General features: G+C 37.8%; 1 protein-coding gene across 3 annotated transcripts in view, besides 2 other annotated features; it reads left to right on the forward strand.

The window, feature by feature from the left end:
* Positions 1-23,870, forward strand: part of MACROD2 (mono-ADP ribosylhydrolase 2) — a 2,057,682-nt gene that overhangs the window by 835,175 nt on the left and 1,198,637 nt on the right. The window lies entirely within an intron of this gene.
* Positions 69-118: a silencer, noted in NCBI's record as "silent region_12681". NCBI's record gives its function as "represses an Ori minimal core promoter by ATAC-STARR-seq in GM12878 lymphoblastoid cells {active_cell/tissue: GM12878}" and the evidence as "EXISTENCE:reporter gene assay evidence [ECO:0000049][PMID:35858748]".
* Positions 2,131-2,180: an enhancer, noted in NCBI's record as "active region_17553". NCBI's record gives its function as "activates an Ori minimal core promoter by ATAC-STARR-seq in GM12878 lymphoblastoid cells {active_cell/tissue: GM12878}" and the evidence as "EXISTENCE:reporter gene assay evidence [ECO:0000049][PMID:35858748]".

Here is a 23,870-nt window from a genome sequence, read left to right on the forward strand (position 1 = left end):
AGGCAGGGAATTACTAGGCAGATGCATATCAGAGCCAGATCCCCAAGGGAAGGGCTTATTTCACCTACGTGATAGCACAGTTTGTACTCAGGCACTTGAGAAACAATAATTTACCATAATTGAACCAGCCACAAATATTTATTTTGTTAAATCAGACCCACAATACCAGCCTGTCTGTGCTTTGCTGGCTAGAAAATGTCCTCATGAGTCTTAAATTTATCCTTAAAATATATTTAAAAAAATAATCTTAACTGGCTTTACCTGTACCTAGTTCAAATCGTTTTCTCTTTATGCACGGTGAAATCTCAATGTTGGTTACTGTTTCTGCACATTTCCCTCGGGATGGTGGTTTGTGAGCATACCTACCTGTGCTGCTGTGTTGCGAGCCTCACTTTGCTCACCTGGGTTTCCCCAAGTGTTGTGTTTCACCACTGGGAGGAACTGGCCACTGCTGTCACCTCACCACCTACCATAAGGCCTAATATATGACATATGTCTAATATATATTTGTTGAATAAGTTAATTACTCTGGATTCCTACCTGTGGCGCAGTGGCTGACACACATATATCTGCACTGCCTTTTGTGAGTGACTGAATGAACGTATGCATTTGCCATTTGGGAATATTTTCAGTTTTATCGACGTGACTGTTTAGAGGCATAATCACAGACTTATAGGAAAAAAACGTTTAGGAAATAATTCTTTGCAGATATCCTTTTGGAATATCCATGTAAGATTTGCCTTTTGACAGTTACTCCCCAATCCTCCTGCCTACCTTATCCCTCCCATTAAAAAAAGAGCAACAACAGCCGGGTGCTGTGGCTCAGACCTGTAATCCCAGCACTTTGGGAGGCCGAGGAGGGTGGATCACCTGAGGTCGGGAGTTTGAGACCAGCCTGGCCAACATGGCGAAACCCCATCTTTACTAAAAAATACAAACAATAGCCAGGTGTGGTGGCGGGCGCTTGTAATCCCGGCTACTCAGGAGGCTGAGGCAGGAGAATCGCTTGAACCGGGAAGGCGGAGGTTGCAGTGAGCTGAGATCGCGCCACTGCACTCCAGCCTGGGTGACAAGAGTGAAACTCCGTCTCAAAAAAAAAAAAAAAAAAAAAAAAAAAGCAACAACACAAGATATCTGGCACACGTTGTCCTGCCGAGTTGTTGTGAGTTTGTCATCGTTTTCGTTTGTTGTTGCTGTTGTGTAAGCTTCACGTTTGGTGATTGTTATGTTCTTGGGGATGCATTCTGACTATATTGGGTCCCCTTGAGACCAGTGTTGCAACCAAAAGAAGCAGAGAAGATGTAGTCCCTACCCTCCCGCACCTCGACTTCATGCCTTTGCGAGTTTTTTTTTTTTTTTTTTTTTTTTTTGAGAGGGAGTCTCGCTCTGTGGCCCAGGCTGGAGTGCAGTGGCACGATCTCGGCTCACTGCAAGCTCTGCCTCCCGGGTTCACGCCATTCTCCTGCCTCAGCCTCCCGAGTAGCTGGGACTGCAGGTGCCCGCCACCATGGCCGGCTAATTTTTTGTATTTTTTTAGTTGAAACGGGGTTTCACTGTATTAGCCTCGAGTTCTTTAACTACTTGATCTTCACTGAATTGATCAGGCTGAGAAAGAAACAGAACAGTGTCAGAAGCCAACCAGTCAGGTGAAAATATTGTGTTTTGCAAGTAAGGGGGGTTGAAGAATGAGAGGGATGGGAAGGAGGGAGGTACAGAGGAGGGGAGAAGAGCAGGTGCGCTAAGGTATGGAATGGCAGTTTGAGGAAGGCTGGGTCCACATCTTCTGTTCTGATGCAACCCCCTCACTGCTGCTTCCTAGAGGGACCTTCAGAAAGAGCCACATTTGTTTTCAAGGCTTTCTGGAGTTAGACTTCTACCTCTTTGGGGTGCCCCACTGGTCTCAAGGGAATCCAACACAGTCAGGATGCATCCCCAAGAGATTGTAAATACATACAATTTAATTGTTATAATTATCTTTTTCCTGTTTGCATCTCAGTTAAACATTGTAAAAAATGTTGAGATGCTACTTCTCTTAATTTCAGTTCCCTCACAGAGCAGAGCCTGAGTCAAGATCTTGAGTGCAAGCAGTTTACTTGACTTGTTTATTTGACTTAGCCTGGGAAGTAGAAGTGAGGTAGAGAGTGAGCTAAGAACAGGGGAAAACCCAGTGAAGGATGTGCTGTTTAGGGGGTTACCACTGTGGGCAACTGAGTTTTGGTCCTGCTGGGAACCCTCTGAAGAACCATGTAGTAAATGTAACCTCAAACCTGCCTATCTAAGTAGCACTGTTCAATAGAACTTTCTGTAATGATGGAAACATTGTGTGTCCACACTGTCTTCTGCCATAGCCACATGTAGCTGTTTAGCATCTGAAATGTGACTAGTGTGACTGAGGAATTACATTTTTAGCATTAGTTAATTTTAGTTAACGTAAGTGTAAATAGCCATATATAGCTAGTCACTGCTGGATTGCACTGCACAGGTCCAAAGGATTGGATGTTCAGGCGTTTATCACTAACTCTCATTCCATACGTGGGGCTTATGGGGCTGTGGGTGTTAACTCCCTCATACTTCCAACCTGCCCTGCAAGGGGCTAAGATAGCTGCCATGACTTAGGAGAAATCCCTGAGGAAGAAAAAATTGAGAGAATCAAAGTCCTTAAGAGGAGACACTGCCTTGATACAAGAAAACTGTCCCTGACAGCTGCAGAAGAAATCACAGGCTGAGAGGACACACAGGAGGCACAAAGTACCCGTGTGATGCCACCTTATGAGGCATTGAAAAAGTGACAGTTTGGTATATTCATATCTGTTTTTACGATTCTGAAGTATCAAAGTTCACATCATAAGAAACGTAATTCTGGTAATAATCCTGAAGTTTTCAGTTAATTTAATGCTTGGAAACTTTTAATGTTTTCTAAATAGCTTTTTTTCCTCTCTTTTAAAACTTCAATTATTTCGATTTTACTCTAATGTAGGTACTAGGACAAAACGGTCACCTCATTAGTATGTAGTATTTTCTGTGTTTTCAATTATTACATTTTGAAATGCTAGTGGAAAATGCTGTCTGCCTTACTTTTTTATTTTCATAGAAGTGTATTTGAATTGGTTTCAACCACCATAAAGACTATTTCAACTTATTTGTTACTAATGATGCCATAGCTTAGTAAATTGCATAAGCTGAATAAAAATAGTATAACAAAAAATGTGGCAACTCTAGTGATTCAAAATGTGAAAAATGATGAGGCTCTATTTTCTTAAAGTTAGATTTAAACTATTCTATGAATATTTACATTTTAAAAAATTAAATTTTCTGAGAAAATCTTGCTTATCCCTAAAGATACCCATCAAGCTGTAAAAATGTAGAGTTTATATAGATAAATGAAACTACATAATATATTAGAGTGTTGCTATGTAGATATGAAAACAAAATTTACTCTTGCTTTTTGCATTTCTATGAAATAACTGTTTAAAGGTTAGGAATAAAGGCCAAAATTTGCATTTAAATGGATATATTTTAAGAAGAAATGCCAATTTGTGACCTTTACCCTTGCCGCTAGTATGGTTTTTTTTTTTTAGGATTAACAATCAAACTTCAGAGGAAACACTAGAAATATAAGCAAATTGATAGAAAATGTTTAGTTTAAACAGCTTCCCAGAAAACTGTTTTTATAGCCTGTAGGGAGGGCTAATTGGGCCTTGTCATGAATCAGTTTAATCATGTAAAATATATTTGATGACTGCAATGATAGTGAAAGATTGATCCGTAGTGGTATAAATCAGGGGTCCCAATCACTGCAGACTCAGTGGAAATGAATAGTTAAAATTCGAAGGGACCCATTAAGTGTATGATGGCAATCACAGATTTAAGGCTTCATTCTATATATTTATGTATGCATTTTAAAATCTTAAGAAGATACTTCAAAATATATTAGAGAATTTTTAAATTTGTAAAATCTACAATGGGTACTACAATATATCTACCTGTGAACCACCACAGTTGCTGGTTGAAATTACTTTATTCTATTATCTTCCAAGTTGTATTAGCCATTGTTAGATTTCAGTGTTATCAGGGTAATAGAAATTAGGTAGTGATTCAAAGTGTGTTTTAAATTATTCCTCTCTTTTCATTGACTAGTTGCATGTCTATGAGAATATGTGTGTATATATATTTATATGTGTGTATATATGTATATGTATAGTCTATACAGATTGACTATGTATAATATGTGTGTATATTTATATATAGACTATACATATATAGACTCTCTATATATACATACATATGTATATATGTTTGAGTGAGTGAATGATTGAGAAACAGATAGATTCATCAAAGCTGACTCTCCCCTTTATGTGGTATAGTAGAACTGAATGGAACATGTTTTTAGTTTAGTTTTTGCTGATGTGTGCATGTAAAGTCCTCTATAACAACCTTTTTTTCCAAAACTGTGCCATTTCCGGCACTGCTTTTTCCTCCATTGTTACTTTTTGTTTATTACTTGCACCTTGGACACATGGGGGAAAAGTCAACCTCCCTGGACAGGTTCAGGAATCAGAGGATGAAGGAAAGAGGATACATGAAGACATATATGAAGTAGGAGTTCTATTTAGAAATGAAAGAACATGTGAAATATCAGTTAACATCGGTTCATATGGAGTCCAGGATTCTATTTAATATATCAGATAGTCAGTAAGGTCTAAGAGAGGCAACTGAAGTACCCTATTTAGAGGAAAGTTGGCATCATGGAAGTTTGTTAGCCATTGCCTGGGCTCAGCCATTAGGAAATTGATATTAAGTTGGGACATTCAGTCCTTGGTCTACTAGAGAAAAAGACTTAGAAATCTAGGCTCTTAAAGTCTGAGTGAAGCTAAGGGCAAGTACAGAGGGGATGACCCAGGAGCACAGTGCCTATGGGACTGACTCTACCTAATTGTAGTTGCTTGAGGTCAATGTATCATTGAATCCACTTGCTCAGATACTGGACCAGAGCAATTTCTACTACCATTGCTCTGGAACAGGGCATTGCACCATTCTCTTAGAAACTGGACCTTAAGAAACTGTGGCCATTTCAATTCCATTTTGATATTTATTACAGATTTCTTAGTAGATGCCAGACAGTGTGTTAGGTCCCATCACTCATATTGCCTTAGTATCCATTAGGGCTAAGTACCATTTTCTTAGCTACACTCTTCCGCATGTAGCTTATTTAGGAAAAGTCGGGCAAGTGGGTTACAGACATAGTAGAAAACATTATGTCAAATAACAACCTGCCCAGCAATGAAAGATTTTACCACGTCCTTTTTGATTCCTATTTTTGCTAAACAGGTTTAAATCCTTAAATGGTTACAGAATTCCCCCAAAGAGTAGATTATTTGTAGGTATTAGACAAAAACAATCAAACAAACAAAAAAAACCACAACACCATAAAACTAATAAACACACACAAAAAGTGAGGGGTCCGTACTCAAAAAAAATTTTGGAAAAGAGTGGGTTAAGCAAGTTATTTTACTTCTACTGCAGAGGAGGCTTTCAGTTTGCTGTTACGCTGTAATACCCAAGAGAGACTAATGTATGCAGAGTTTCCCAAAATCATTTGATCTGGGAATAGTTTGTATTGAAGCATCTTTAGTGACTGGTGTCCTGTAGCACAAATTCGTTAAAATTCCAATGCTCCAGTTTTATCCATCACTAGGAGGAGCTAACCTCAGAGAAACTCAGGGAAGGATGCTGGGAATGGACCTGCTGGTTGTACTTCAAAAGAAGCAAAGGCAAAGGGGTCCACACAGAAGCCCCAAAGAGAATCAAGGTTAATGAAGGGCTCTGCATATGATGACTGTCTTTAAAGTAGGAATCCTCCAATCTGAAATGGCACAGACACTGAAGAGATAGAATTAAAATGTCTAAAATTATGAATGTTATCCATAGGTTGCCTATACTAGTCAATCAAATTCTGGAAGATGGAAATGACTAGATAAATCCTTCCCCTTGCTCCCATCTTGAGGATTAATTTATGGGTAAGAGGTCCATAGAGGCTTGTTAATAGGAAATCAGACTTTTACAGCTATATGCTAACTTTTGGCAATGATAGACAGTTAAACAGAATACTTACCTGAATGAATCAGTTTGGCAGAAACATGCACAGGATTTGAAAATTTTATGATTCCAAAAGCATATCTGAACATATGCCAATTGATAACAAATATTAGATGATCCAAGAACTATTTGGTGAAATAATGAAGGTAGTTTGTATAGAAAGCACCTGTGCTTATAGAGTTCATAAAAGTTTTTCAAAATGATAAGAGGAAATAAAACTCTTGTAATTAACTAGAAAGATATAATGTATTGATCTGTAAATTAAAGAATTTTAAATAATGAGTGTTTTCTCTCTTCACTCTTGAGCCTGTTTCTTTCCTCAAGAAAATTTTGATTCCTAAAGACTAAAGTGGAAGTGTTTATTATGTATGCATAATAAATATCTAGAAAATAATAAATATCTAAAAAAAGACAAATCAACATCTGACATGAACTTTGTCTTTCCAAAGACCATAGAATGGGCTATGAGTGAATATCTTTACAAAGACAAACTTATCATTAGAACATTTTTGGTTGTCTAACAGGCAGGAAATTGTTAAAAAAAAATCTTGTTGCAGTAATGGAGAAAAATTAGATGTTCATAGGAGCTCCCAGTGAGGATAATCACATCTGAATGCATCCTTGAAAATAAACACAACTCAACATTTTAGTGTTCTATTATTTAACCAATTGGAGTATGAATGGATATGTAACAAAGCTTCAATAATGTGTTTCCTCCCAGTAATTGCGTTTCTTTGTAAATGTCTGTCCTTTGAGCTAACTGTGTCTTGAAATCTCCTGACTTCATAATTCTCAAAATCAGGTGTCTGAGATGGTACTACAACAGGCTACTTGAGATAAGAGTGACCATATTTAATGATATTGACCAGTCAACTAAACAAAATAATTATTTTGATCAATCTTTACCAACTAACTAGCAAAATTTACCTTACTATGACAAATTCTAATGTTTTACATAGGAAACAAAATACTAATGGCTTTACCTATATCATGCCCAACCAGGAAATTTAATTTGATTAGTGTTTTGCATATACTAAAATATTTCTATCTGGATACATGCAAGGCTCCACAGGGTGGGGTTAGATTTTTTTTTTTCAATGATACATTCCACATTCCCCCTGAGGGAAATGTCAACTATTATCAGGCACAGCCAAAAAACAAAACAAAACAAAACAAAACAAAACAAACACATGGAAACAAATGAAAAGAACAAACTGAAAAAGTGTTAAGTCCATACTATTGGGCAAAAATAGTAGTTAACATATGTAAAACAAGGAGAATTGTTCAAAGCTTTTTTTTCTTCTTGATATGAATTTGTTGTAAGGCAAATATCTTGTTTGAGTCATTTGTTTATTGTGTGTAAGTGTATGTGGGTGTGTAATCATTTTGCCCATCTCTTTTGTCAGGAACCATTAAATTCAGTGCCCAGAAAGATGTTGCAAATCAGCTACTATAAAATTAGAATATGCTAGAAACTTGTAATTAATAGTATAAAATTCTTTTACAAGACCAGACGATGGTTCTACATTTTATGTTATATTAAAAAATGAGAAAACGTCATTTGTGAAATTTAATAAGGCAGAACATTATTATGTTCATATTGAAAGTCAGACTAATCTGAGTGGATTAAGGGTGCCTTGTGGAATATCTTGTGTTAGTTGACTAATTCTTGTCCTCATTATTAATGTTCTGCAGCAACTGTAATACCTACAAGTAAACATCAATTGAAAATAACTTCATAAACATTTCTTAATCACCACAGATAGAATATTGTTTGCTGTGTTAATGCAGATTAAATAGCATAAATTTACTTTTATCTCTTTTTAAAAAAATAAATTTTGAAAAGCAGATTAGTGAATGGCAGAGCTGTCACCCTTGATAAAGCTGTTTCACATCTTTGGAGAGCTTAAACATGATACACTGAAGTGTGTTCACTGTCCCTTATGAGCATTAAGTGGTTTGTAAGATAAAAGAGAGAAACCAGAAGTGAGAAGGTTTCTATTACAAACTTAGTCATATCATATAAAGGGATGGCGTAGATTAAATCCCTACTCCCACCCTTTGCCACCTCCCCTTCACTCCCCAGAACTTCAACTGTCCTTTATGACACACAACTGAGCAGGAGACATAGAATCACATTTTTCACAGGGATTTGAAATGTCTTTGTGGTCATGGTCTGGCAGTAATAGAAGCCATATGCTGTGGGTCAGGAAGAAAGCTATCTCGAAACAGAAGAACCCATCTCCTGGCCTAATGACCTTGGGAACGTTTAGTCATTTCAAGGCATTTATCGTTGAAGCAGCGTAGGGGTCGTTTGGGCTATGTTTTCCTCCATGTGACTCCAAGTTGTGAGGGGGAGAAGTGCATATTATCCATAAAGAAGACAGCATCAGTGATAAGTAAGTGGCTAATGTCAGTAGCAATAAAATTCTCTTCCAGGGCACCTGTTAGCTGATTTGTTGTAGATTGATTTGCATTTCCCTTTGTGATTTTGAACTCCTTTTAGCTTCTTAATACTTTAAAACACAAGTCTGATGGAATGAGAGATCGCATGAAAGAATTTGATTTAAGCTGAGTACTTTGTGGACATTGGAAAAGCAGCTTTTGTCTTAAATTACATTGCCTTTGGAATACCAGCATGTAAGACAAAGAAACATGATCTTTGTAATGGCTGTTGGCCCATCTCCAGTTGACACACACATGCAAGTTATATGGGCTGGGTCACTTGAGGTTTCCCATTTCCCATAAAATAATGTTTATCATGGCATGGTGGGGCTTAAAATTGGTTCCTAAGTAATTTTTGCTCCAGTCTCTTATAGTTGTCTCTGAGTATGTCCCCAGAACTGACAGTGATTTGGAGGCATTGACCATTTAACATGATACTGGTGGACATTGATCAGATGGCCAGTATTTGGGTAAAACTTATATTTGGAAGAGGAGAACTGATTTTTGGATATTAGGAAAAAGAGAGCCCCCTCCCCAACTTCACCAACACTGCTGAATTCCGATTATAGGTATAAGCAGGAATTTTCTAAAATTTTAGATTAGGTTTTACCAGAAATTCTCAATATTCTACTGCTGAATCTTTAAACTACCAGACACCTTTTGCTCTCCATTTTCTCAAATTGGAAAGGGGTGATGAAAATGGTAAAATGTCTCTTCCCTCTTCCTTTGTTCTCAGGGATGTTTGTTACTCATCCTTCTACTTGCAGCTAGTATATAAAACATCTTTTAGAGTCTCCATGTCTTTTTTTTTTTTTTCTTTTTTGAGATGGAGTTTCACTCTTGTTGCCCAGGCTGGAGTGCAGTGGTACTATCTCCGCTCACTGCAACCTCTGCCTCCCAGGTTCAAGCAATTCTCCTGCCTCAGCCTCCCAAGTAGCTGGGACTACAGGTGCCTGCCACCATGGCTGGCTAATTTTTGTATTTTTACTAGAGACGGGGTTTCGCCATGTTGGCCAGGCTGGTCTTGAGCTCCTGGCCTCTAGTGATCTGTCCATCTCAGACTCCCAAAGTGCTGGGATTACAAGCGTGAGCCATCACGCCTGGCCAGAATCTCCATCTTAAACTGGCTTCCTGAAAGAGTAAATTGATCAAGCTTAAAATAATTTTCTGCTGTTCTTTTTTTCCAGTAGGGACAAGGTCTTGCCATGTTGCCCAGGCTGGTCTTGGGCTCTTGGACTCAAGCAATCCTCCCACCTCAGCCTCTCAAAGTGCTAGGATTACAGGCCTGAGCCCCCATGCCCAGTCTCCTGGTGTTCTTGGAGGGTTTTCCTCTGTAGGTACTTGTTCATTTGTGTCCAGAGAGACTTGGGAGACTATAATCAATACTCTTATCAGCCAGAACAACATACATTAAAACTAAAAGAAAAAGAGGAAGGTTGAGTTAAACTGGCCCTAAAAATATTGATGTTCTCTCATTGGAAAGGTTGACAGGTTCTTTCAAGGAAAGGTCATTTCAGGAACATAAGAAGTCTTTTTCACTTTACTCTTTGCTCTTATCTGAAAGCTCATCACAGTGTTCTATAATATTTTATCATGATTCTGATAGGTTTCAGGATGAAAAATGGAATTTGGCTTAAAGAGTGCAGGGCTAGTATGAGGACACTGCACTCTGAAATAAGTCAGAGTGATTTGTCTTCATCAGATGTTCCATAATAATACTTAACTTTTACTGTATGACGTGAAACGAGTGTTATTATTTCAAAAAATGTATTTGTAAATTTCAGGTCAAAACTAAGAATAACTCTAAGAGTGTAAAAAATAACATATTTTAATGTTAAATTTTTTTATTGCTTACACTCTAAATATTTTCCTTTGACCAATATGAGAAATATTCCCATTGATATCTCTGTGCATTTAAACAATTGTGAAAATAGAGAACTCAGTTATAGTTAAATGACTGATGTTCTATAAGATAACTTTATCACATAGATAAAATAATGAAGAAAAGAAATTAAATAGGCATTCCTCTGAGAGTTTCTCTGACAATCAAATCAGAGGTTTTGATTGAAAAATTCCCTCATTAATGTAGATTGAGTGAATGAACTAATTACTTTGTAATTTGTTCTAATAGAAACTTTCCACTGAGGTGAGGGGCAAGGGGAAACCCCACCGTCTTCACTGTCATGGAAAAGATAAAGAAGTAATGGATCTTTGAAATATTTCCCCTAACTTTCAAAACCTTAGCTTACAGTGTTGGAGACTACCTGAGATTACCTTTCAAGTAGATGTTTTCAGGAAAAAAAAAAGAATATAGAAAGGCAGCCCTTGCCACATACAATGTATTTGAATGACACTACAATGCAGCTTTTGTAGGTGATCAGATAGAAGTGTCTTGCTGTTCTATTGTATTTCAGCTTGAATATCCTTCATCAAGGCAGTTACTGCAAAACAATGTTGTAAATGAAAGTTAAAATGACATTATTATAAGTAAACTTGAGTTTTCTTTTATTACCTGTCATTTATAAGGTGGTAATGCACCACGAAAGGAATTGCATATTTTGGGTAATAAAGAAATATTCTATGACCTTGGTATTACTTATACTAAGATTGGTTTTAAGACTTTTATTTTGGGTACTATAGAGTAGAGACCATGTCATTCCCCCTTTCCTACCCCATTTAGACATTAAGACATTCTTAGTGATTTTTTTATAAGTACCTGTCTTCATCCATTTTCTGCTGCTGTATAACAGAATACCACCAACTAGGTAACTTACAAAGAAAAGAGGTTTTTTGTTTGTTTGTTTGTTTGTTTATTCACGAGTCTAGAGGCTGGGAAGTCCAAAATTAAAGGGCTGCATCTGGTGAGTGCCTTCTTGCTGCATCATGGCATGATTGAAGGCATCGCATGGCGAGACCGACCGTTCTCTAGAGAGAGGAAATGTGGCCTAACTCCCTTCTTTTATAACTGTCCCACTTCTGCAATAATAAACCCACTCTCATGATAACAGCCTTCATCCATTCAGGAGGGTGCTGCCCCCTGACCTAATCACCTCTTAGAGGTCCCACCTCTCAAGATCACAATGGCAATTAAATTTCAACATGAATTTTGGAGGGGACATTCAAACCATAGCAGTACCTTTTTTCTGAAGTCTCCCCAGAGCAGTAATCTTTAGTCCTGAATATTTCACTGAAACACTTACATGTAGAGGTATTTTCTTAAAATTGAGACCTGTCTTTATTAAAAATTATTTATAGTGATACTCTTTTCTGTTCTGTTTACAGTATATCTGAGGAAATATAAAGTGTATGCTATTAGGCTTTGTAATGTCTTATTATTAAGGCAGATATAATAGCTTTAAAGAGAACACTGATGGATAGCTTTTTAGACTCAAAGCAGATATTTGTGTGCGATTAAAGTAGAAAATGATACCCTACAATTGTTGAGACATTTTTGATGTTCTTTGGCTTTCCACACTGATCTTTTTCTATCTCTACAGTTAGTTTGGTTTTGGATTAATGTTTTTCATTCAGATATAGGAAATCAGTAGCACTTGAAATGCCATCCATAGTACACTGAAGTCTTCAGTGAAACAACAGAGTCCAATATTCAATCAGAAAAGAAAATGAACTCTAGGAGTCATTTCCAGGAGACATGTCTGAAGTCAAACTTGGGCTTTATTTCCTGTCTTCAGAGGGTGCACTTTCATAGTTGTTTTCTATAAGGTTCAAATCCCAGAGTGTATGTGCCACTCTCTCTCCATTTATACCATAAACAAAAATTCAGGTCTTTATCATTTCACACCCTGGCTGTCAATGTGGCTGTCTCTCCAGCTTCTGGTCTGCTAGCTCCCCTTCTACCATCCCCAACTCTTATTCCCTGGCTTAATTTTTATAAAACAACTATCTGATCATCTCATTTCATGTTCATTAACTTTTTTTTTTTTTTTTTTTGCTGCCTCTAGGATATAATGTCTAGGCTCTTTGTGTTATGACTGGGGCTAGGAAAGAAAGCCATTATCTAACTGAATGGCCTCTGAAGGAAATATTAGAGCTTTTCTATAAATTTATTTTTCTCATCCTTCTAAATCTGCATGTTTGTATATATTTTATTATATATATATACTTTACCCATACAGTAGTATATGCATATAATTGATGAATAAAAATACATATCTTGGGATATGCTCAAAATACATTTTACTAAGAGAATGCATACATGTGGCAGTTATAGATTATTAATGTCACTTTATTTTTCTCTTCTTACTTTTCCACTAGGTGAGCAAGGCAGGTAAATTAAATCTGTCCTGTTGATGGACTGAAAACTAACCTCAATACATTCTCTCAAATATGCTACAGGAGTTTTGATTTGTTCATGAATTTATTTTTATTTTCCTACAAAGGCAACTGGTAAACACTGCCTCGCTTTTGTTTACCTCCTTTCTTTTTGACTTTTCTTTCTGAGAACTTTTGTTTTCTTGGGCATATTTCAAAGAGCTACTAACTTTATTTCTTACATTTGGCCCAAACTGGCTTCTATTTGCCCACTCTTGTTAACTCCTTTGCCATGAGACTGTACTTTTAATGTATACTCTTTGTTTGTACAAGTTCTTTTCTTTTCAGTAGTTGTTTCTCTTTCAGCCTTAACTTATGGCCCTATGTTCTGATGCTTGCAACCTGCCAAGTACTTTCCAAGCCCTACACCCCTGTGGTCATCTGGTACAATTGGTACTGCCATTAGCACCACTTCCACCATCACCAAGCTGTCCTGCCTCCATTAGTTCACTTTGCCTCTTATGCTTCTTCTCTCACATAGATATCTCAGTGCATATCTGAGACTATCCTGGCCTTCCACCTCATGGTTCACTCACACTGATTATGAGTTTTTCTTGTTCTAGGAGCTAAAAATATCTCTCCTGCCATGGCCTGAGGGTCTCAACATTCCATATTCTCTTCATAGTAAGATAATTTTTTTTCCCCCAAAATCCCAGTAGTCTGGGTGGCAAAGTACTGGTTCAAAAAAGTTGATAGTCCCAGCACTTTGGGAGGCTGAGGAGGGTGGATCACTTGAGGTTAGGAGTTCGAGACCAGCCTGGCTAACATGATGAAACCTCATCTCTACTAAAAGTACAAAAAAAATTAGCCAGGCTTGGTGGCAGATGCCTATAATCCCAGCTACTCGGGAGGCTGAGACGGGAGAATCGCTTGAACCCAGGAGATGGATGTTGCGGTGAGCCAAGATGGCGCCACTGCACTCCAGCCTTGGTGACAGAGCAAGACTCCATCTCAAAAAAATAAAAAATAAAAATAAAAACGCTGATAGAAGGGCATCTCTTCATAACACTAACTGTCCCCTGACTACCTCAACCTAAATACTCCTTCTTGTTTTCTTTTTCCTACTTTAGTATAAACTCAGATACTTTAAGACAAAAGGGGTACTTCTTTCTCTCAAAAAGAAAGGCATAAACATAGTGTCCTAGGCAAACTGGTCCTTATGCTTACTATAAATCAATCCAAGACAACTAACTATCAAAAGGAACAGTAGAATATTCTTTCTGGAATTTTAACAGAAGAAGAAGAGCCTTCCCTGTGGATTTTCTGAGTGATATATGGATTCAAGCTCTTTACATTCTGGCCCTGTCTGCCTTCTTAAACGTATCTCCCTTCTTCTTTTTCTAATATTCCTGTCACATTGAGCTATTCTCTATTTCTTAGACACAGTCTACCTCTCTGCCTTTGTCCATGGCCTTAAATGCCTTCCCAGCCACAATCTAGCTGTTGAAATCTCATCCATCCTTGAATATCTAGCTCATGTAATGGTAATGGCCATAGAACAGCTTCTACTAACCACCCCCAGCAAAAGCAACCTCTTTCTCTCTCATGTGATGCCTTATGACATTTATTTCATAATCTTGTCACATCCTCACTTTATGATTTCTCGTATGTAATTTAAAAAATTACATAATATCTAACCTGCTAGTTTGTAAGTTCTTTGAGGACAGGTTCTATGTCAAATTCATCTTTGTATATTCCTGACAGCCTAGTTACAATGATATTAATATATTGGAGTCACAGTTGTATTTCTAGAGAGGATTATATGGCTGAACAAAATGTTTCACAATGATATGTTCTTCTGATGGAATTTTTTAACCTAAGATTACTGAGAATTTCTTGGTCAGCAAAAAGACAGGAGTATATCATTCTGACACTCTTTTGAGGCACATGTTTATTCAATGTCCACCCTCTCACAAGCAGATATTTAATAATTAAAAAAAGAAAATCTGCAGCTTGATTATATGCTTAGCCAAGAAATTCTTTTGCAGTTCTAAGGAAAATCTCCAGCAAACCCAATTACTCTCCCAGCAATGCACTTCAAAGGAGAGCAGAATGCATTTCTTGTACAGAATTCCTGGATATGTTTGATCATTAGTTAGGGCAAGTAGTTTGACTTGAGGCTATTTACTCAGCAGGAATAAAAAGTACAGCATTGCTTCAACCAAGAGGAGTGCCCCATACCTTCCCCAAGCAGAATTTAATAATTTGATCTGTCAGAGGAGGTACAGAGGTTGGCTATAGAAATGAGTCACGACCAGTCAGATTTGGCTGACTTGTGGGCCATTAAAAATGTTCCTTCCCCCAAACGGCATTTTTTAGGAATAATAATAACAGAAACAGTTGGCACCATGTAATTGACCAAGAACCTGAGAATTTCACAGCAGTACTTATCACTGAAACAGTTTTTGTTTTTTTGAGTCTAAGCCAAATCCACACTTGAGTATTTTTTTAATTTATCCAGGTGTTCTATGGCTAATATTTATTTCATCTAGCAAGTGCCACAAAGTATTTTTGATGTAGTCAAAAAAAGTATTTCTGATGTAGTTTAAAAAAGTATTTTTGGTGTAGTCAAGAATATAACATGATATTATTAGACTCCTAATTACAAATATTTGGTAGAGACTATCAGTTTAAGAAAAAATTGCATTAAAATGTCAACTTTTTTCTTTTTTTGAGACGGAGTCTCGCACTGCACACTGTCACCTGGGCTGGAGTGCAGTGACGATCTCGGCTCACTGCAACCTCCACCTCCTGCATTCAAGTGATTCTCATGCCTCAGCCTCCTGAGTAGCTGGAGTTACAGGCGCACGCCACCATGCCTGGCTAATTTTTTGTATTTTTAGTAAAGATGGGGTTTCACCATGTTGGTCAGGCTGGAAGTTTTTTCGAAAACTAAATATATATTTCATTATATAAGGTAGACTTTACACTTTTTGGGAGGAAAATGCACATCACCTTTTAATTTTTTTTTTGAGACGGAGTCTCCCTCTCTCACCCAGGCTGGAGTACAGTGGCACGATCTCAGCTCAATGCAAGCTCTGCCTCCCGGGTTCACGCCACTCTCCTGCCTCAGCCTCCTGAGTAGCTGGGACCACAGGCGCCCGCCACCACGCCTGGCTAATTTTTTATATTTTTAGTAGAGACAGGGTTTTGCCGTGTTAGCCAGGATGGTCTTGATCTCCTGACCTTGTGATCCGCCTGTCTCGGCCTCCCAAAGTGCTGGGATTACAGGCGTGAGCCACCGCATCCGGCCTTAATATGTAATTTTTAAGCACTTTAGGTTTTAATTAAATTTTATTTCAGTTATAAAAATGTTCATTACCATTTGGCATATTCCTCAGCTAAAATAATTAACAATAATTAAAATTACCCATGCTTGATTTTCTTATTTCAATTTTTATAAAAGTTATGCCTTCAGTTTATAGAAAATAAAGAAACTTATGTACACATCGATGCTTTAGACAATATCTATTTTTCACCATGAATATCACTGAAAGAAACAAGTATCTTTTCATCTTTAGACAAAAGAAAAAAAAGTACTAGTGTATCTTTTATTATTGGTTACTTTAAAAAAAGAGTAAAACTACTTCTGTAACATTAATTTTTAAAAGTTAATTCTCATATTCTAATGGGAGTGTAATGAGTTTTTCTCACAGTGAACTCTAATGAGTTTAGGAACGTGCTGCCATATTTATGGTAGAGACTATGCAAATTGGACTGATGTTTATTTATGCATTTATTTCATTTGGGAATCTAGTTTTCGACCTTAAGTTTGCTGGAGAATTTGTTACAGGAAAGAAAGTGTATGAAGAAGTCTTCTTGTCCCAGGTGTGGAATTAAGGTAAAATTAACAAGGAATTGAAGTTATCTTTGATCATGATTTTTGATTCCATTTTTATTCACTTTGAGGAAGTGTTGCCTGTTTTTTTTTTTTTTTTTTTTGATGTTCAGCAGAGCAGTACAATGCAACACACAGAAGCATAATGTTGAATTTTCATAATAATGTTTGTGATGCAAATGAGGCACACTTCAAAAAGTAGAATGATTAGCATTTCTTGGTAAGATGACAGTCCCCCCTTTTAAAAAAAAATTGTTCATTAGTTTTATCAATAGATTACATATCCAGATTTCAATTTTGAGTGCATACTTTTTGCTTATAATTATAATGTGAATTTAAATAGTTTTAGATTGTGCATTTAAAACAATTCTTCTGTCACTGTATTATACTCTGAATTAATGAGCTGTTTGCCACCTCAGAGCCCTTTGCTTTGAAATTCAGTCCAGTTTAAAGTGAACTCCAACCATTTCAGGCCAGCAGCTCACAGAAGGTTGCAGGATTAATGAGCTCCAGGGGCTCTGTGGCTTCCTTAGAAGCATTTATCACTAAATTCTATTCTTAGGGAATATCATCCTTATGCAAGAAGATGGGGAGCTGAATGTGGAAAAATGCTATTCAAACAAATAATTTGATAATTGCCAATGAAGAGTGTTCTTTCTTCTCACTACAGATGAAATACAAGAGATGCAGCTAAGACCAGAGCTTTTAGTTTCTCTAACTGGAGTGAAATTAAAATTGATGGATATTTTGATAAGATTACTAATGTAGGTGAAACAATGCTTCCCTATAGCTTGTTCTACAACACTGTACTCATTCACTTACTGGACTTCCTAGGGCTTACTTAAAGAACTTGTACACATCCACTGTCAAATATACTTCTGCATACATATACTCTTGGATATCATAGCCTATTTATAAAACTGTATCTGTCTCCCTAGTTATCCTGTAGGAATAGCTAGTGTTTTCTCTCCTTTTAGATCTTCTCAAGGCATCCTCTGAGTTTATAAAACAGAGAGTAATATGGGTGAGAAAGTTGGCCCTTGCTCTTTTTTTTTCTTTGAGTATGCTGTTTTTATTTAATTCTCACAATATCTGGAGATAGTAATTTTTAACATAATGAAACAGATTTAGAGCAAGTGCATGACAAGTAAAAAGCAGGGCCGGAATTTGAATCCACATTCATTTGACTCTAAGCCTGTACTGTCTGATATAGCAAGCACCTGTAGTTATTGACCACTTGAAATGTGGTGATTGCTGCTTGTTAAAATCATAATAATTTCGATATATTCATGCAAATAAATATATTACTAAAATTCTACCTAGAGAGGCATTTCCTGGGAGCTGACAATCCCCTTTTTAAAATAATGATTATTAATTTTATGAGTAGATTATATAATCGGATTTTCATCTTGAAGGCAAACTGTTTACCTCTTGGGAGAGTTTGTGTACCTGAGGTTGTGCCGTCTAATTAGGGCAGCCTGGGCCAAGGATGGTAAATTCATGGCAATCACATGGATACTCCACATCCTCCGGCAGACATCACTTATCGGTCGTGGCATTTTTCTCACAGGAACAGCATTCTGTCTCACTGAGACACAGCCTTGGAATTCTTCTCAGTACTGTTCATTGATCCAGGCAGCCCCCACCTCTTGACTGGAGTTGGCAAGTGAGATAAACATGTTAGCTGACTCTCTTCTGGTCAGGGCTCTTTGGCACAGTTAGGTGCTCTGACCTTTTGAATAGACCTGCAAAATGCAAGCCTATCTTCAGCTTTCAATTAGATGTTAGGATATGAAAACATGGGCATCTTTAAATTGATGAAATATTCAGCCACTTCAGGTCTGTTTCTTCCCAGCTAATCATGCTTGTCATCTACATTTTATTCCACCAACTTTATTCAGGTTTTACCCCTCACCTCATGATTGCTTTATTGCTAGAATGTGAAAATATCTTCTATGCCTAAATTGATATCCTTGAATTAAAGGTGTGTTGATGTTGCGACTCTAACTTCGGTGTGCTGGGGCTGTCTTGCAGCAGTAGGGAGTGAAGTCTAGGCCTACCAAGCATTACGTGATGTCCTTCCTCAAGCCCTCTCTCAGCCAGGCACAGTGGCTCATGCCTGTAATCCTAGCACTTTGGGAGGCCGAGACAGGTGATCACTTGAGGTCAGGAGTTCAAAACCAGCCTGGCCAACACGGTGAAACCCCGTCTCTACTAAAAATACAAAAAATTAGCCGAGTGTGGTGGAGGGCGCCTGTAATCCCAGCCACTCGGGAGGCTAAGGCAGGAGAATCGCTTGAACCTGGGAGGTGGAGGTTGCAGTGAACTGAGATTGCGCCAGTGCACTCCAACCTGGGTGGCAGGGCAAGACTTTGTCTCAAAATAAATACATAGATAAGTAGTAACTCTCACATCTAAAGAGCAAGAGCAGACTGTAGCAGATAAATGTCCCAATAAAAATAGGCTCCTAACCCTTACTCTGGCATTTGTGTTTCATCGTAGCAAATTTGGATGCAAGAAAGCTATTGAAACTGAATCTTCTCCTACACCTGAAGAGATCTATTACTTCAATCACTCCACCGAAAAATCTACCAAAGATTAAGTATGTTTCTCTATTGTATTCCTGCAGGTTAGGATTGTTACAGATCACAATGACTTAATGAAATCTCAATACTTGTGGCCAAAATAACGTAGGATGGAGAGCCATAGTTTAAAAGTTTGAAAGCTTTGGGGGTCATCTAGGACACTGAAATTCTGCTTGCAACTTGTTTAGCTGGAAAACAAAAAGCATGAAGATAAGACTGGAAGATGAACATCTCATACCATCAATATATGGGTGATTAGAAGCTCTACAACAATTCTAAAACCCAGCCTAATAAAGTATGAAACATTCTGAGGAATGTTCATAAAGATATGCAAATGGACTTTGAAATGGAAAAAATGCAAATCAGTTGAGGTGGCACAGGCCTAATTTACCCATTCTCTCTCAGGGAATATCAGAGCTTCACACATTTAACAGGAAATGTACACATGCTGACTTCCTTCAGGTGAAAAAAAGATTCCACCTGCAACTAGTATTAAATATTTGAGATTTGTTTGCCACTGTTGTATCACAGATGCTTCAACTAGAGTGTTTAATTTTCACACATATACCATTTAGGAGCTGTTTAGTCCTCTCCCTAATGAAAGAGAGATGGGAAATCCAGGACACCCCACACTTACTGGTAGGTTTCCAAATGTTCCGCTCTTAGATGCCACTGGTACCTCTAAATAATTCAAAATATCGAAGAGCTGACTCCACACAGCAGAATGTGTTTTCTTAGTTGGAATTAGGTCTATAATCAGACAGAGATGTCTTATTAGTCAGAATGGAAGACAACGGACTGGTAAATATTATAATTTGAAAATGTTGATATAAAAGAAGCCTCAACATAGGAAAAGGTGACATGAATGTCAATGGCAATTATAATATATAAAAAAGATAATAGTGTTTTAGAGAGTGATGAATAGCTGTGGGAGGAAGAGTTGAGGCCAGATTTTGCAACTTCTAATTTTTTTTTTAAACCTAGCATTGACAGTACAGTCCTGAATTGTTGTGTTGTGATAGGACATACCTTTTGCTATTAAAAAATAAGGCCTCATATTATTATTAATTTTTTTTGGCCTTCTGCCTAGGAAAAGAAGTATGTCTTTGGAAATAAAAATACACAAAGTAAGTTGTCATTGAGGGAAAGAGTTAAAAAGAATCACTTACCTTTTATGAATTATTTTTTAAGACTACACAGGTGAGTTTTTTGGTTTTGGAAATTCTTGAACATTTTGATTTCATTCTTCCTGGAGAGCCACCGATACTGGAGGCTGGACACCACATAACAAATTAACCGTCCTCTTTCATTTGTAACCTCCAGGGAGATAAGATCAGTTTAGTTGCTAATGAATTTTGGTCCCCAGCACAGAACAATTACAATGGAATATGAGGACGGTTTCAAGAGCATCAGGAAGATTTTACCAAATTCTATTTAATCTCCTCTCACCCTGTTTACAGGTCAGCTTATTAAAGTTGAAAATTCCTGGTAGATGGTTTCCATGGAGAGAGAAAATTATCTCTTTAGATAAACTATTCTAGGGTTAATTTGATTCAACCAACATTTATTTAGAGTTTCACATGTGAAACACAATACTGTCTTAGGAGCTACAGGGATACTAAGATGAACGTGGAAAAAAATGATTGCCCTTAATTAAGTTGGCATGAAGTTCATGTACACAAAGATGTACACGGATCTAGGATAAAATGTGGCAAGTACTATCATGTAAGTATAAATAAATAAAAAATTGTACTCTTCATACAAAGTCTTGTTTGCCCCTCATAACAACCCTATTTGAAGAGATAATTATTCCCATTTCACAGAAAACAAAACAGTGTCATAAAGCAGCACATCTGGTAAGTAAAGCCAGGACTTGAGCCCACGCTGTATACCAGCCATCCCACAGAGCTTTCTTGATGCTAGGGAGAAGCCAGTAATAAAGCATTTCATAGAGAAGGTGGCATGGTAATGGACCTTGAAAGACAGGTGTCATCTCAAAAGGTGGCCAGAGGGGACATGTCAGAGAGTCATGCATGAAAGAGGAAATTTAAGCTTTAAGGACAGGACAGATGAGACTTCCAAGGGGAGAGCAGAGATTGGGAAGAGCATCTGAAAGTGAGCCCTCTGGAACACTCCATGAGGGATGGGAGCAGGCGGGAGGAGGAAGCGCAGGAGCCAGCTAAGGAGACAGGGAAAGAGCAGTCTGGCCGATGTGAGATCATCTTGGACAGCGAGGTGGCCAAGAAACCAAGGTACAACAGTGCAGAAAATCAAAGAGGCCCCCACAGTAGTCCGTTTCAGAGAGAAAGATACACAGAGCTAAAAGGACCCCAAGAGTCTTCTTGATCTGGGGGTCACTGGTGACTATAGAAAGAATAGTTTTATTAGAGTGATGATAAGCCATAGATCATGGGAAAAATTGCAGTGGGCAAAGGATGAAGTAAAAGGGGAAGAGGGTGACATGAAAGTTGATCACTGTTTCAAGAAGTTTAGTAGTGGAGGAAAGAGGGAATAGTGGTATTAGTTTTGCACACTCACAAGCCCAGGTAGGATCCTCATTTTGGAGAGCCTCTGGTAACATCTGATAAGCGAGCAGGCCCCTTAGGTGGCTCTGTGACAGAGCTTTTGTTCTGAGGATGCCAGCATGAGGCCACACTTTAGTATCAAGTCACAGGACCCCTGCACCTTTGTGTGTCAGCCTGACCTGGGGCATAGGACTAGAGGGCAATGGGAAATCATACTTGTCCAGTTGGAAGCAAATTTTTTGCAGAAATTTGCTTTCATGGCTTAACATTCATAATGCCTTAGGTTGGGAAACCACCCATGCCCATTTATGGGCCATGGTTAATTCTGTTTTATTCTGTTCAACAAACTTATCCCTAGGTACTCTGTGTGAAGCCCCACTGTGGCTCGGAGTCTACAGCATGTTTCAAAGACGTTGCTGTCCTCAAGAAACATAATCTCTTTGGGGAAGCAAGAAGCAAAAGTAGCCCTTTACTGTAGTCTGATGAATGTTGCCGTGTAGGAATGGGTGAAGGGCCTGGTCATAGAAGGACTTACATATCACGCTTGGCACTCAGATCTTACTCTGTAGATAATGGGGAAATTCTATAGTGTTTTAATAGGAAGCAGCTTCACTGTTTTCATTTATTCTCACTGAGGTGTGAACAGTGTGTGTGTGTGTGTCTGTGTGTGTGTGTGTGTGTGTGTGTGTATAAATGGGGATAGAGAAGCAAGTTTGTGACATATAAAGCAACAGTCTAGATAAGAAACCTTGACCTTAATTAGGCCAGAGGAAGTGGGTTTGGAGAGGGCAGGTGACACTTGCTTTTGTTAGTGACTGAATTCACTAACAAAAGGGGTGCGGAAGAGTTAGGTTGCATAGGTGCTTCCTGGGTTTTTTCTGGTTGACTGGAAATGCTTTCATGGCCCGTCTTCCTGTCTAAATTAAGATGTTCATAGATGTTTTAAAAATAGGGTGGAGTCTGGAGGTAGAAGACAAAGCTGTATAAAGTCAAAGTAGGGAGAAAAAAAATGAAGAAAGGCAATAAAGAGAAATAGAGACAGCCAGTAATTATTTGCTGTCACAACCCATTCTTAGGTCACCTTTCGGTTTCAGTTTTCCAGCAATACTTTTCTTTTTTTCTCCTCTTTTCATTATTAAATGCCTTAAGAAATGAGTATGCTGCATCGATAGAGTTATGATGGCTTACATGAGAAGAGCTTCTGAGAAGTGAGTTCCTGGAAGCACTGTGGTGGTGGCCAAGTATTTGCTTATAAGATTTTATTTGACATCTATAAGGAGAAATATACACAAACTTTTTTGTTTTGTTTTGTTTTGTTTTGTTTTGGTGCTGGAAGTGGGAAAAGTAACAAGAATTTAATGAGTAATAAGGAAATGTAAGAGGAACCATTAAACATAACTATAGTTACATGGACCCTACTTACTCCAAGTGTATTTTAGTTAGATTTGGGTGTATTTTGTGTCTGTTAAGGCAGGTGGGCAGTTTGTTCATTTGGCTGGAATCCTGGGGCAATTAGGTCAGCATTAGGGGCTTAGTATTTCTGCAGGCCATTTAGTTTTAACCTGCTCCATGACCCCAGGACACTTTCTACCTCATCATTACCCTGATTTTTGTCCGTGAGTTCAGGGAGGCACCAATCAGAGAATGTCGATAGCTTTCTAGCACATCCATCTTCACCAGGAGAAAGCTGTGGTCAGATAAGTAGGATTCCCCTTTACATAAAAAGAACAGCCTGTTCCATCGTTAGAAAAATTAGAAACTGCGGTGAGAAGTGCAATAATTAGTGACTACTGAATGCTTGTTCTTGAATTTGCTTTATAAAAAATGGGATCTGGGAGCCTTGTTAATTATATAGCTTTGTAAGAATAGTTTTTCTATAACTGTATTAGTATACTTAATCAATGACTCATAGAATACTGGTAACTAATAGACCTGGACTTAACGCCTGGAATGTCCTACTAAGCATGGTTTGGTGAGCTGTCTACTTTGATTCTAGGATAGTTTATGTTTAATTATGCCACAACTTGGGCTTATGCTATGTCTTGATGT

The sequence above is a fragment of the Homo sapiens genome, chromosome 20, assembly GCF_000001405.40.
Source record: "Homo sapiens chromosome 20, GRCh38.p14 Primary Assembly".
Lineage (NCBI taxonomy): Eukaryota > Metazoa > Chordata > Mammalia > Primates > Hominidae > Homo > Homo sapiens.